The sequence below is a fragment of the Homo sapiens genome, chromosome 7 (genome assembly GCF_000001405.40).
Source record: "Homo sapiens chromosome 7, GRCh38.p14 Primary Assembly".
Taxonomy (NCBI): Eukaryota; Metazoa; Chordata; class Mammalia; order Primates; family Hominidae; genus Homo; species Homo sapiens.
The window spans coordinates 51,445,631-51,460,383 of NC_000007.14; the positions used below are offsets into that span (position 1 = coordinate 51,445,631).

At 47.3% G+C, this 14,753-nt stretch overlaps 1 annotated feature.

Annotated features, from left to right (window-relative positions):
* Positions 407–925: an enhancer, noted in NCBI's record as "H3K4me1 hESC enhancer chr7:51513734-51514252 (GRCh37/hg19 assembly coordinates)". NCBI's record gives its function as "activates a minimal SCP1, AML or CMV promoter by ChIP-STARR-seq in naive H9 embryonic stem cells {active_cell/tissue: H9 hESC(naive)}" and the evidence as "EXISTENCE:reporter gene assay evidence [ECO:0000049][PMID:30033119]".

Here is a 14,753-nt window from a genome sequence, read left to right on the forward strand (position 1 = left end):
TTAACTTCACCACACTTGTAGCACCTAAATAAATAAAATAAAATAAAATAAAATAAAATAAAATAAAATAAAATGCATGTTCTATCCTCTTCTGTAGATGCACCTTAATGATGACATGCAAGGTCTCAAGGCTGGCTCATCAGCTGCCTTGACCCTTGACTGGACCATCTCCCTTCACTTCATCCCTGATGGAGTGTCCCTGGCTCCATCCCAGATGGTGAGGGGACTCGTGAACCTTTGTGTGAACAACACAGTTTGGAAATCCAAGCTCTTGCCCCAGCCCCTGAAATCAACCATTCTTTGGGCAACTCTAAGGCCCAGGTGAAACAGTCAGGTGGGAGGGGTTCCCTGGAGAAACTCCATCTAGCCTGCCCACTGAAGTGGAGCCCGGGGAAGTTCACCACGTTAGCAGCAGGGAGGAGCCTGGCCCCTCCTCTTCCTGTGTGGAACCTGGGATTCGAATGGCTGGGTGGGAAACGCTCTAGCAGGGACTCTGGCCTGGAGAGAGTTCCTGCTTCCCCCTTTTCATTATTTTCACCCAATAAAACCCTGGGTTACCATTCAACTCGTCTGCGAGTCTGAATTTCCGTGGCTGTGGGAAGAACCCTGCCTTTAGCTTGAACTAAGGAAAAGTCCTGCAACGCTTTTGATGCCCAATGTGATACTCAAGAACCAGTGAGTGAAATGGGAACTCAAAACCTCTCACTGTTGCTTCTAAGCTTGTCCATTCTCGGACTTCTGAGGGTGAGGGAAACCATGCCCCCATCATGCCCTGTCGCTCTGGGGCCTTTTCATGGCCTTTTCCTTCCTTTTTCAGGACCGACCGGTGAGCAGCAGCTCCCCGCCGCTCTCCCCTTCCTGCCAGGGCTGGGATGCGTCCGCCACTGCTCTCCCCTCCCTGCCGGAGCTGGGATGCGTCCCTGACTGCTCTCCCCTCCCTGCTGGGGCTGGGATGCATAGCCCAAGGGTCCCACACAACCAGCTGGCTGGCTTTTCCGCCTTGCACTACTGGAGCCTTCCCCTTCCCCAGCCAAGGGGCTTTACTCCATCAGACAGTAATTAAGCTTTTCTCCTGGTGGAAGAACCAGTTGTATAAGAATAAGAGTTCTTCCTCCAGTATTTTAAACCTTTTTTCTTTCCTCTTCTCCATCCCGTCAGCAGTTAGCCTTTAATTTTTTTTTTCCTTTTAGAAGACATTTTTACGCGGCCAGACCCCACAACTCTCACCGTTCATATTTTCTGCAAAGTTTTTATTGTGAAATTAAGCCTCCATCCTGTTTTTTATCCTGAGGGCATGGCTTGTAACTCGGAGGCAAGGCTTTGTTTAGCAATCCTGCCTTAGGGAATGAACCCTCTCAGGTTGGGTATCTGCATGTTTTCCTAGCCCTGTCTCTTAAAGGGCCCCACACAGCAACTGGGTTTTCTTCTGCCTGTTGTGTACTGTGTGTGATGTCTGTAAAACGAGCTCTAATTAATTTGGCCTAAAGAAAGACAAACCCTTGGATCAAGTACTTTTTTTTTAAAGGAAGTTAAAAGCTGTGGTACCTTTCAGTTCACCTGACTCTAATCTTTGAGAAATAAAAACAGCCTTAAAGATTATGGGTAAAATGCAGGGGTCATTAAAATGTAAATAGATGAACTAAACTATGCAGGTCAGATGCAAGGTTTGCTAAGTGTTTTGAGGTTACAAACTGCTTTTTGGGTTTTGAGAACACTATGTGACTGGGACTCCTTTAAAAGGAGCCTTCTTTTTTCCTTTCTTCTCCATGGTTCTCTCTTCACTGATAGGTAATTGTGTCTCCGTACTATGAGACACTCCCCTCAGATGCATCATCCAAACTGGAAAGAGTTAATTTCCCAAACCTTAAACTGGTTGGTTTAGGATTGGACTCAGGGGAAGGGAACCAAGAAGCCCAACAGGCTGGCAAAACGGGTAAAGCTTTTTTAACGGGTCAGGCTTTTAGCCTCCCTCTCCCCATGCAAACTGGTAAAAGGCCTTGGAATTTTTGAGCTCTCCTTACCCCATTCCTTGTTTTGTTTTGATACATGTTTTCTAATAACTTAGTTTGTCTGTTCTTGCCTTCAGGCCATCACACTCCCAATGGTCATGCAACTGGAGCCTCTGACGATGGCCCCTTCTTCTGGGAGCCCTTAGATAGGCCTTTGAGGGAGATCTGACTGCTGTTTCCCCAAAACAGAGCTCTCTGTCAGAGGAAGCAGTTAAGATCGGCCTTTGTCCTTATCCTTATTCTAATGGCAGTTAGATGTACTTCTTTAGAGAGTGTAATGAGACAGCCAGGTGGAAGGGAGACCCCTGGAGAAACTCCAACCAGCCTGCCCACTGAGGTGGAGCCTCAGGAAGTTCACCACCTTTGCAGCAGGGAGAAGCCTGGCCCCTCCTCTTCCTGTGTGGAACCTGGGATTCGAATGGCCAGGCGGGAAGTGCTCTAGCAGGGACTCTGGCCTTGCGAGAGTTCCTGTTTTCCCCTTTTCTTTATTTTCACCCAATAAAACCCTGTCTTATCATTCAAATTGTCTGCGAGCCTGAATTTTCATGGCTGTGGGAAAAAGAACCCTATATTTAACTGAACTAAGGAAAAGTCCTGCAACATAGGGGCACTCACACCAGGGAACACGTCCACCCTCAGGAGGACAGACCAGAACAGAAGCCCCCCACAGGCTCTGGAAATGGACTCAGAGACATTTGGGAAGGGAAATACAAGATCCAAGACACACAGAGTGTGGCACAGAATAAGAATCTGGATTTCAAATGCTCATACCCCCTTGGTTCTGTGCATTCCTCACCCCTTGGTGGGGGAACACAGGCAGTGGAGGCCGGAGTTCTGCAAGGCACAGGACTCAGGAAGGGCACCTCTAGATCAGGTTTAAGGCACATTCTGTCTGGAAGTCCTAGCCAGCATCTCCTTGACCCTCGCCACCACCTCTAATCAGAAACCAAGTCCTGTAGAGTCTACTTTCTAAATACTTTTCCATTCTATCCCAGGGACGTCACTCTATATCATCATAAGCTCCCACCTTCGCCATCTGATCAGCCTTCTCACACCCATCCTGACACCTTCCTCCAATCCATTCTCCACGCTGTAGCCACAGAGAGCTTTGTGGAATGCAAATGTAATCATTTCTTTGCTTAAATGCTTTTAATGATTTCTCATTGTCAATGGGTTGTACTCATCGGCAGAGACATTTATTGCAATAAAGTGGAAATAACCCGTTAAGTTAAATAATACGTATGGTGAATGTACCATTTAAGAGGTTTTTTTTTTTTTTTTTTTTTTTTTTTTTGAGACAGAGTCTTGCTCTTGTCGCCCAGGCTGGAGTGCAGTGGCACAATCTCAGCCCACTGCAACCTCTGCCTCCCGGGTTCAAGCGACTCTCCTGCCTCAGCCCAAGTAGCTGGGATTACAGGCGCCCGCCACCACACCAGGCTAATTTTTGTATTTTTAGTAGAGACGGGGTTTCGCCATGTTGGCCAGGCTATTCTCGAACTCCTGACATCGTGATCTGCCCGCCTCGGCCTCCCAAAGTGTTGGGATTACAGGCATGAGCCACCGCGCCCAGCCCCATTTAAGAGATTCTGAATGTGCTCAAGTGAGGTTGAAGATATTTGATGATTCAAAACCAAACACAACGGCACAGTGTGGTGGTGGGAAGACTAAGGAGGTCAAGAGGAAGATACTGTCTTGTTCCTGAGACTACACAGTGAGGCAAACCTTGAGCACCTTCCCGGGCTCAGCCTGGTGCCAAGAAATGGAGAGGCCCAACGCAGCAGCCTGTGTAGCAGCCTACTCTCCTTGTAAGGCATATTATAAGAGGGAAGACAATACTGTGTGGAAGGAGTTCAGAGGAATTGGGGTGGAATGGCACATTTTCTCACTGTTTCCACTTTGGGGCTTCAGAAAAGTCTGAGTTGGGAACAGGGATGAGTTCCTGGGAAAGGGCTTGGCCTGTGTCCGTCACCTTGATCACGAAATCCGTGCACTGCATCTCACACCAGCAAGGCCGCCATCCTCCAGACTAAACTAAGAATCATAAATCTGGCTGGGCACGGTGACTCACGCCTGTAATCCCAGCACTTTGGGAGGCCGAGGCGGGTGGATCGCCTGAGGTCAGTAGTTCAAACCAGCCTGAACAACATGTTGAAATCCCGTCTCTACTAAAAATAACAAAAATCAGCCAGGTGTGCTCGCTGGCACCTGTAATCCCAGCTATTCGGGAGGCTGAGGCAGGAGAATTGCTTGAACCCAGGAGGCAGAGGTTGCAGTGAGCCAAGATCACATCACTGTACTCCAGCCTGGGTGACAGAGTGAGTGAGACTTCATCTCAAAAATAAAAATAAAAAAGAATTATAAGTCCCTCTGCCCCCTGCTCTCCCAACAGAGGTGCATAGAGGACCTTATGAACCCTGGCCAACACTTATACTTAGATTATGTGGGATTATTTAAAATGGTAACTACAACTGATTGATTTCAACATTGGTTTTACACATTCCATTCTCAAATAATCTCTCTCTTTTTCTTTCTTTTCTGAGATAACCAGTTAAGGATCTGATTCAGGAAGTTTTTATAGTAAACATAAGTGAAATAAATTTGGCCCCATTGACTGATTAATAACAATAAGTCCAAAGAGGAGATGTTACACAGTGGGAGTTTGAACTGAACCATCACATGCATGAAAAGCACTCTATGTTCATTGAGTAAATGAGTGAACGAATGAAGTGGGTAGAACTCATGGTCAGTAATGTTACATGGCAGCATCCTAAAAAATGATCTGTGATCCAGTAGGCTGGCATGTGGGTCGCCATGCCAGAGAGCAGCCATGCAATCTGCCCTATGCCAACTGGGAAAGTGGAGCGTACAAAGAATGTAGCCAAGGACCTGGCTTCAGAGGTTGCCACTTTTGTTAGGGACAAGCCATAGCCTCAAAAGAGCAATGATCCATTTAAGGGCGATGGGGGAAAGCTCAGTTTGGAAGTGTAGGAGGCAGGAGGTCAGAGGAGGGCTAGAAGACCCTCTAATTCCTAGAGCTGCAGAATGTGACCCAGGACCGAGTGTGTCTGATAAAGAGTGTGCATGTACTCACAACAGCGTGCCAGAGCGGATGCATGTTTAGTTCAAAGGAAACAGAGGGTGGGGAGAGAATTAGGTGGCTCACCTTATCAGAGCACTGGCAATGCTGGGCATCACAGGAGGCCAGGCCTTGTGTGTGGGAAGACGGGAGCCTCGTGCAACAGCCAGTGGTGGCTAAGAATTTAAGAATTAGTCTTTTTTTTTTTTTTTTGAGACAGAGTCTTGCTGTTTCACCCAGGCTGGAGTGCAGTGGCACAATTTTGGCTCACTGCAACCTCCGCCTCCTGGGTTCAAGCAATTCTCCTGCCTGAGCCTCCCAAGTAGCTAGGATTATAGGCACGTGCCACCACACATGGCTAATTTTTGTAATTTTAGTTGAGACGGGGTTTCACCATGTTGGCCAGGCTGGTCTCGGACTCCTGACCTCAAGTGATCTGCCCACCTCGGCCTCCAAAAGTGCTGGGATTACAGGCATGAGCCACCGCACCCAGCCAAGAATTAGTCTTGATGACTTGAAGGTACTGGTCTAACTTGGGATCATCTGTGGGTTTAATATGGGGTGTGATCCAATCCCATTTAACACACAGGCTTCCTTGTGCCAGGTCTTGGTGCAGCACTGGGAATACTGGGAGAAAGGAGACATGTTCCCGCCCTGAAGGGGCACAGGTGGTGAACGACAGACTGGGTCTCACTCTGCCACATACTGCGAGCTGGCCCTGCCCAGGCACTCGGACTTCTTTGAACTTCTGGTTTCTAGTGTGTGAGATGAATCTCCAGAGGACAGTGCTCACTGGGGCTGTGGAGCGCGAGGACTGTGTGAGCTACCTCCTGGAACGCTCTCCCAGGTGCTGGCTCTTGGTGGTTCTCCCCACGTGTTGGTGGGAAACACTGAAGCAGGCTGTAAGCCATTTGGGAAAAGGGCCACAAATTCAGTATAAAAAGGTCTATGAAGCTCTGAAGGGGGAGCTCTGAAGGGTTGATTTCTCTGAGTGTAGTGAGGATGGGGAGGTCCAGAAGGCCTCAGACAAACAGATAATAATGGGACAGATCCTGGAGGGAGACCAGGGCATGGGCAGGTGAGAAGGGAAAGATTCCTGAGCCCGCCAACCTCAAGCTTGAGCCTCAAATGCTCACACCCGAGAGGACCTGTTCAAAGATTTCTGGGCCTCCAGCCTGGGCTTCTGATTCAGGAGGGCTGGATGGGGCCCATGATTCTGTATTTCCAACAGCTTTCCAGGCATTGTGACACTAAAACCAGGGTTTTAGACAAAGGGGCTCTGCCCATGTTCTTGGTGAGTAGCCCTGCTTAAATGGAGCATAAGGGGAAACTCCCGGCTTACATGAGTCTGGGGCTGATCTCAGGCTTTCATTCCTCACGGTTTTCCCATTGCCCCATTTGCATGTACCTCCCACCTGGAGGAACCCTTGCTCCCACTAATGCAGTGCGGCTGCACAGAACAGCTCCAGCCAGACACTGCCCATGGGAGGCTGCTGCTGTTCTCTGTGGCCCAGGGACTGAGAGCCTCGTATTTAGGACAAGAGTGCTTCGCAGCCCTGTGGGCAGGCAGGTGGGATGACCAGCAGGGGGCTGGCTAATTGCTGAGTGGCTCAGTGCAGGGTCCCCGCTGGCTGGCACAATGGACTCAAGCTAGGCTATGAGAGGAGAAGGGAGATGTATGCTCTGCTCTCGCAGCTGTGGAATGCTGCAGAGGTGTGCATAGAATCCCTAACCTTGATAAAAGGGCCGTCTGCATTGGTTATACATCAAATTGGGACCAAAGATCAGACTAGCAGAGGTAATTCCATCACATCTTATCTCTGGGCTGCAGGGTCGTGCTGCTAGAATTGCTGGAAATTGGAAAGCTCGGGAGTGTGGACAATACAGGCAGTGAGGATTGTCTAACTAGGAAAGCGGCTCCAGAGAGGGCAGAGGTGCTATCTTTTGTCAAGGTCCTGGTGGTCCTGACCATGGCTATTCCTTTGCACATATTATCTCATTAAATTTTCACAGCAGTTCTTGCAAATGTGTTAATATCCCCACTTTACTGATGGGGAAGCAGCCTAAGACAGCTTATCTAACTTTCCCACTACCACAGGCAGCAGATTTGAGTCTTCTTGAAACACCTCCAGGAGTCAGAATACTCCTGAGGATAACTTGGCTTTGCAAGTGGTAACAACTTCCTGTGCCAGCTCTCTCTACCTCCCAGCTGAGTCTGTTGAAATTTACTAGGGCTTAAGGCCATACTTTATTTTCTGTGTGGAAAATGCACAGATCAGTGCCTGGCACATTTTTGATATTCAATGAACATTTGATTCTATAACAGTGCATATGTGTGCATACACGAGAAATTGAACAAACACATTTAGGGGTCCTGAGACTCCTGAGGGTCTCTCATGAGGCCTGCTTGTAGGTCCATGTACTGCAGGACGAGCACTCCTGGTCTCAGTGGCTGTGCCTGTAGTGACAGGGGTTACTTCCAGGATTTTGCTTTTTTTTTTTTTCTTTTTCTTTTTTGCAATAGTTGAACTGGATTTATTTATTTATTTATTTTAACCAATGGTGAGTCAGTCTTGGCTATGGATAATGAAAATAGAGACAACCAAATAGCTGCCCCCCCAGGCCTCCTCCGCCCACGAATGCTGTCCACTTATATTTGTTTCCACAGACAGAACTTATGAGAGATACAAAGGAAATAAAAATAATTCAGGCCACTCTGAACACAGAGTACAGGGCAGGGGCGTTCTGGAGGAAATCAAGTTTAATCACTCCAAATTCCTTGAAATAGCCCTCTCAAAACCACATGAAAGTGTCATTAGCAGGTTCCTGAGGGGTTTGTATGGAAAAAAAGGTTTATTTTGACTCATTCTGAGAGGTGTCAACATTGGTTGACTTGGAACTTGGGCTCAAAAAGGAGGCAGCTTCAGACATCTGCTGAGTGTCACCCAACTACAAAGCCTCCTCCTCCCCCCAGTGGCTCCCCATCCAGCCCTCTCTCCTGCATCCTTTTTCTCTGTGTGGTATAATTTTGCTGGTCAGTGCAGAGACAGAAGACCCCAAGTGAGAGGGGGAGAGGCAAGGGTAGAGGTGTCACCATTACCAGAGCTTGCACAGGGACCTTCTGAGGTGGGATGGAAGAAAACTCTAAGGGAGCCTGGGCTTAAAATGGCCTGGAGCAGGGTCTTGACATTGCAGTTAGGATGATGTAAATTAAAGTTGTCAGTGGACAAGGCCAAAAGTTTCAGTCTGTGTTCACGGGGGAGAGCTGTCTTCCTCCTGACAGTCTCCTCCCATGTAGGCCGCAGTCACAAGGCAATTCCTGCAGGCAGGCCTAGTCACCTAACTGCGGGGACCTATGCAAAGAGGCAAATGTGGTGGGGCCTCCTGTTCAGAGGGAAGGGAGCAAGTGCTGTGAAGGTATGAACACACACACTTGGTTTCTGCTCCTGGTTTGCTTCGAAAACCCTGGGAATTCCCTGAATGCTGGGTGTGAGAGGAACTTCTGTCATTACTCCTACAAAGCTCCTTTCAGCCCTATGTGAGTGTGTACTAACAAGGGGGCTCCTGCACTTGGGGGCTGGTGGCCAGAACCAACCCTGGGCTTAGAGGCTTGGAACTGTTAGCCCTGTACCCAGCGTCCCAGCAGGGGCAGCAGCTGAGATAGAGCTCCGTCCCCAATGGCCAGTGCTTTCATCAGTCATGCCTATATTATGGAAAAGCTATAAACCCCCCCCCAAACAATGGGGTTCAGAGAGTTTCCGTATTGGTGAACACACCCTGGTGCTGGGAGGGTGGTGTGCCCAGAGAGTGCATGAAAGCAGCACGCTGCCCCCACTCCCCCAGCCCTTGCCCTGCACATCTCTTCCATCTGACTATCCCTGAGTCTCATCCTTTATAATAAACTAGTAATAGGAAGTAAACTGTTTTCCTGAGTCCTGTGAGCTAGAATAGCTGACAAGTTAGTAAACTTGAGGAGGCAGTCATGGAACCCCTGATTTGCAGCCCATCAGTCAGAAGTCAGAAGGGAGTCCTGGATTTGGGATGGGCATTGATGTGGGGGCAGTCGTGTGGGGCTGAGCCCTGAAGTTGTGGGGTCTGCGCTAACTCCAGGTAGTGCTAGAATTAAATTAGGTCATAGGACACCCCATTAGTGTCTGCTGATATTGAAGAATTGCAGTGTGTGGGAAACCCACATATTTGGTGTCAGAAGAGCTGTGAGTGTAGAGAAAACAGAATTTATTTTTCTTTTAAAGATATTAAAATATAAAAGTTTCCCTCTCTTTTACATATCTCTTCTGCTCTTGGGCACATCTTATTTTCCCATCATATTTCACTTAGACAAAACATAAGTTCTAAGGTAAAATTATTAGGAATTTGAAGATAATGAGGGCAGAGCTTTAAACAGAGTGTGGGACCCAGGAAGCTGGCCCTGGTTGCATGATGGAAAACTCAAGAAAATCAGGGAACCCACAGAGGTGCGTGGAGTCGTGCCCAGCTGGCCGTTGGCAGAAATGAACCTAAGAGGGATGGTCTACTCTGAATCTACATTGAAAAGATGAATGTCTGACTACTGCCATCTGCCTGACAACATGAGGCAGAACATGGTTGCAGGTTAGGGTTGCCATGGTGCCATCTTCTGCCTTTGGCCACTCTTGTTTCCTGCATAAGTTCCCTGCCTTTTGCATTTCTGTAGTTGAAGTGACATGGATTTGGGACAGAGTTGAAGTGTGTAGTAAACCACTGAAAAGGAGATAGTTTGGCCCTGGCTACAGGGGGCCTAACTAAATCCACAAAGAAAGGAAGTATATTTATTATGAAAGGAGCTGCTTGTTAGAATGGTTCTTTCCTCCCTAGGAGTAAGGGGCAGAGCCAGCCGAGGGAACCATGATGCTAACTGGAATCCAGGCAGCAGTGTGGCCAGTAACATGAGCAGCTTGGCCTCACTGGTAGGGACAATGACTGGGACTCCGTGGTTTTATCTGTGTTCAAGTGTTGTCCCAGAACTAAGCAGGTCACACAAGGGTGAGGCAACAGCTCATTTCCCTGGCATAGGATTCTTAGAACAAAACCTCCACCACCACCAAGAATCAAAGACTGTCAGAGTTGGGAATTGATCAGAGTTTGCAAACTGGGGCTGATGAGATTGGACCTATATACGTGCTTGGTTTGGTCCACATAAAGGGCTGAAAAAGAATGGATGTAACTGACAACACTAAAACATTTGGAGATTACATTTCATAATCCTAACTTGCTATTTCCCTCGAAAAATCAGAGGATTTGACCACACCTGATCCGAAGGCAAGTTTCATTTGAGGGTGAGGGGCCTGGGACATGGAGATGAAGCTCGTTTGACCTCCCACTGGCTGTTGCAGCCTGGGTTGGGGACTCAGCGTGCTGCTGCCTCCTGGCATAGAGCTCTCCGTGTCTGCCTGTCATTACTGTGACTATTTACACAGCCCAGGGCTCCATCTCCTGGCTTCCTGCCAAATAAGATGTCAATGAGAATAATTGCTTTTTAAATTGGGAACCTAATTCTTTCCAACATATCATAACCAATTTTTCTCCATGACGTTGGAATATCACTTCAAGGAAGTTCTTAAATGTGTATAAGAACTATGATTGATAAGAAAATAAAATTACCTTATAAATATAAATAATTACCTAGGTAGAAACACAAAGGAAATGTCTATTGTAGAGGGCTAGTGAAAGGTTGGTTACAAACTAAAGAATCATTTTATTTTGTTTTTGTTTTTCATTCAAAATTCCACTGTAGCAGAAATTTATGTCTAGTTGAAGCTGTGCTGAGGAATTATATGACCTTGAACAATACCAATGCTTTTACATTATGCCTTCACCATCTGCAAAACAGACTTTAAAATATCCACTCCTGCCTTATTATACTGATAAATTAGACCACGTGTGGAAGCACTTTAAGCTCCTGGGAAGAGAGGAAGGGTACACATTGGTGATCTTGATATTATGAATTGGAGCATGAACTAAAATGTTATTTATTCTGTAAATCTGAGGTTATTATTCCCTTGGCAATTGAAGTTCCCTCTTAACCAAGCCCATCTTTTTTTTTTTTTTTTAATGAGGCTAGGACAGAATGAAATGACTTTTATTCATTTGGTGCAAATGCAAATTTTTCAATGTTGGTAATGTCTTGTAATCTTAGTGCCCTAATCTCTTTGAATGGCTCTGGTCATAATGTAACAGAATGCCTGACTTTTTGTCTTCTTTTGCAAAAGGTCTGAAAAAGAAAGAGGAATGCAGCATAAGTAGGTGGCTATTACGATGGAAAGAGGATTAGGTTGTCTTTTGAGATGTCAAATATTTGCTGTTCTTGTTTTCTTTCTATTTTCTCTGCTGGCACCTATTTGAAATGTGTCCAAAGAGGGTTTATATTCACTGCCGCATATTCAAATGTTTTGGCCTTAAGATCTTTCCCTGTTGCTTGTCTTTAGGGTAAAAATGCTTATGAGATCATGAAGAGGCACGTGCCTAGTTCTCTCTCTTCCAAACTGGTCAGTAAGTCCAGCTCTGCTGGGCAGGTGACCCTCCTCCATTGACCTCTGATCTGCTCTATTGCTTCACACCTGTTTTCTTGTCCACTTCGTCATGCTCACCCCTCCTCACTCAGTAGCCTCACTCCTTATTTCACTGAGAGAATGAAGTTGATTGGAAGAGGGCCTGTTCATTTCTGCACCATCGAGTCTGTCCACCCTAAGACTGAGCCCTCTTTTTGCTCCCTGTGGTTACGGGGAACATACATGTGCCTCCTTGTCTATGGCAACAACTGCCCTGATGCGCTGGGTCCCAAATCCTCCGGCCTAATGGCAAATTTGACTGTGCTAATATCCCCTCTCTTTTCCCTTTTCACTGAGGCACAAAACAAGCTAGAAAGTCTCTCTCTCTCTTTATTTTTTTTTGTTTTTTTTTGCTTCCCTTCAGTTTCTGCAATTCCCAGAAAAAACTTTTCTGCATTTCCTTTCTGAGCTCTATCCTATCTCAAATCCTCTCCACTCTTGCTCTGTTTCCATCGCACTATTGCCCAGGATGCCAGCAAAGCTCAGGACCCTCATCCAGCAATTCCTTCACGGTCCTCCTCAGCCTTGGGTTCATTTTCTTTGCTTGGCTCCCCATGAGATTTCTTCTGACTTCTCTGACCACTCTGTTTCCAACTCCTTGATTGGTTCCTTATGTTCCAGATCTCCCTTAAATACTGAGAAGGTCGAGGGCCTCAGGGCCTGTTTCTCAGTTCTCTTCTTAATCTTCAGTCACTCTTATGCAATCTCCATCCCATCTCCCACTGGGGGCCTCCAAATTTTGTCTCTTGCCCCGACTCCCACCCTAAACTCCGTATTTACATATTTCTTATTTCCACCTGGATGTCTAATAGGTCCAGTTGAGCATTCTAAGCTGAAGGAATTTGAAAACAATGGCAGAAGCAGGAATGTCACTCTGACCTTTCCCCACCCTTCTCCCCTGAAGAGGTCATAACACCTAGGACAGATGCTCTGGCCTTCCCCTGAAGCAGGCCACCAGAGCCTCACATGAGACATGGCTTCCCTATCCCTGGAGGAAAGGATGTTCTTATGTTTGAGGACACAAGCACACAGAGGGGACTCTGAGCACACAGGCCTTGCTAAGTCTCCTCCACCAGCCAGTTCATTGCCATTGGCTCATACTAATGGTATGAGTATTTATCCAGTCATACTTGTCCAAAGCTATCCACTTCTTCCTCAAACCTAGCATAAAGAATGCATAAAAAACACACAGATTCTCCTGTTTCTTTGAGTCTTCATTTCTGAAAGCTCCATGTCATGTAAAACTGACATCAAATCCACATGCATGCTTTTCTCTTGTTCCTCTGTCTTTTGTTAGAGGAGCCTCTGCCCTGAATCTCAGGCAGGTGAGGAAAGAAACCTCCTCTTCTACAGGCCCCCACTTGTAGCATGCCCATATCTGAACTCCCCACCCTGGGCACACTCCTTCAGAGTCCAGGCATGGTGGCCTCAGACATCTGTCTATCCTTTTTGATTGGAAGTCCTGCCTTTTGTACCTGAGTCATTTTCCTGGGTCTGACAACTCATTTTCTCTACCAGTGTCTCCCTCATTCGAGCCACTCTCTTCTCTTGCCTGGACTTTGGACAGGTCTCCTCTCTCAGGCTGCCCATCCATTCCAAAGTGGCCTTTGAACAACACCGCATCTGCCATTTGCTTGTGTTTCTTTTTCTTTTTTTCTCTTTCTTTTTTTTTTTTTTTTGGTGACAGAGTTTTGCTCTTGTCATCCAACTGGAGTGCAATGGTGTGATCTCCGCTCACTGCTATCTCCACCTCCCAGGTTCAAATGATTCTCCTGCCTCAGCCTCCCGAGTAGCTGGGATTACAGGTGACTGCCACCACACCGAGCTAATTTTTGTATTTTTAGTAGAGATGGGGTTTCACCATGTTGGCCAGGCTGGTCTTGAACTCCTGGCCTCAAGTGATCTGCCCACCTTGGCCTCCCGAAGTGCTGGGATTACACTTGTGTTTCTAAAGCATGGCTCCCCTGCCCTCTCAGGAGGCCCCAGGCTCCAGCTGTGTTTCTGACGTCCTGTCTGCACTCTCTGGTTCCAGGGCATGGCTTCACCACAGCGGCTTACTTGCTGTTCCTGCTACCTCAGCATCTTTGCAGCTAGTGTTTTGTCTGACTGGAACTCTCTTCCCCCAGTCTGCGTCTGTTCATTCAGATCCTGTCCCAGCGTCCCATCGTCCCACCTTGCCTGACTATCCGATGGCCCTCCATCCTGGCTACTCTCTCGGTCCTCACCCTGCTTGGGCTTCCTGTCTGGCATGTGTATCTACCTGACCTTGCGTTATGTATTAATTCACAGGGGCAGGAGCTTTGTGCTGTCCTAAGCTGGACTCTAGCACCCAGCTCTGAGACATAGGAGGCACTCAGCAGTTGTTAAATGAATGACTATTTCTGGGTGCCATGTGCTTCATTCACTGAAAAGATGAATGGATTTTTTTTTTTTTTTTGAGCAGGCACTGGGTTTGTTTTTCATAGGGGAGTCGGGAAATAGATAATTCCGGAGGAAGCAGAAGGAATGTTTAGCTGAAGAGTGTGGTAATGAACAGCACGGGGCTATCAGCCTCCTTGAGCTAATGGTGGTTGCTTCTGCAAACAGGCAGAGGATGGCTGAAAATACCTTGGGGTGAGCAACAATGGACTTGCCGTGCCATGCCATTAACATAGGAAGTCCTTGAGGGCTTGAACAATATCCCAGCTCTAGAACAGGATTCCCAGAAAGAGCAAGGCAGTACCTCTCTGCAGCACCAGGGGCGTTTGGATGCGGAATTAGTGCAGGGGTCTTTACCAGGCACTAAGCAAGAGCCCTGAGTTAGGAATATGACAGAAGACCAGTTGTCACAACTGGGAAACAAGTCCATGGCCTGGCCAACAGCCCTGCTAACTTAATGTTGAGCCCCAGAATATGAAGCCAGTGATTCTTCAATCCACTTCTCTGTTTCAGGATGAGTCCTAAAGAATGAACCAAGATGGATCCCACTATCCTGGGTGACTGAGAGCCTGTCAAAGGTCTCCAGTTGTGTGAGTGGAAGGCTTAAGGCTTTTGTGAGTGGACCAGGCATGGCCTAGTAGTGTGCTGTTTTGTGGAAATTCC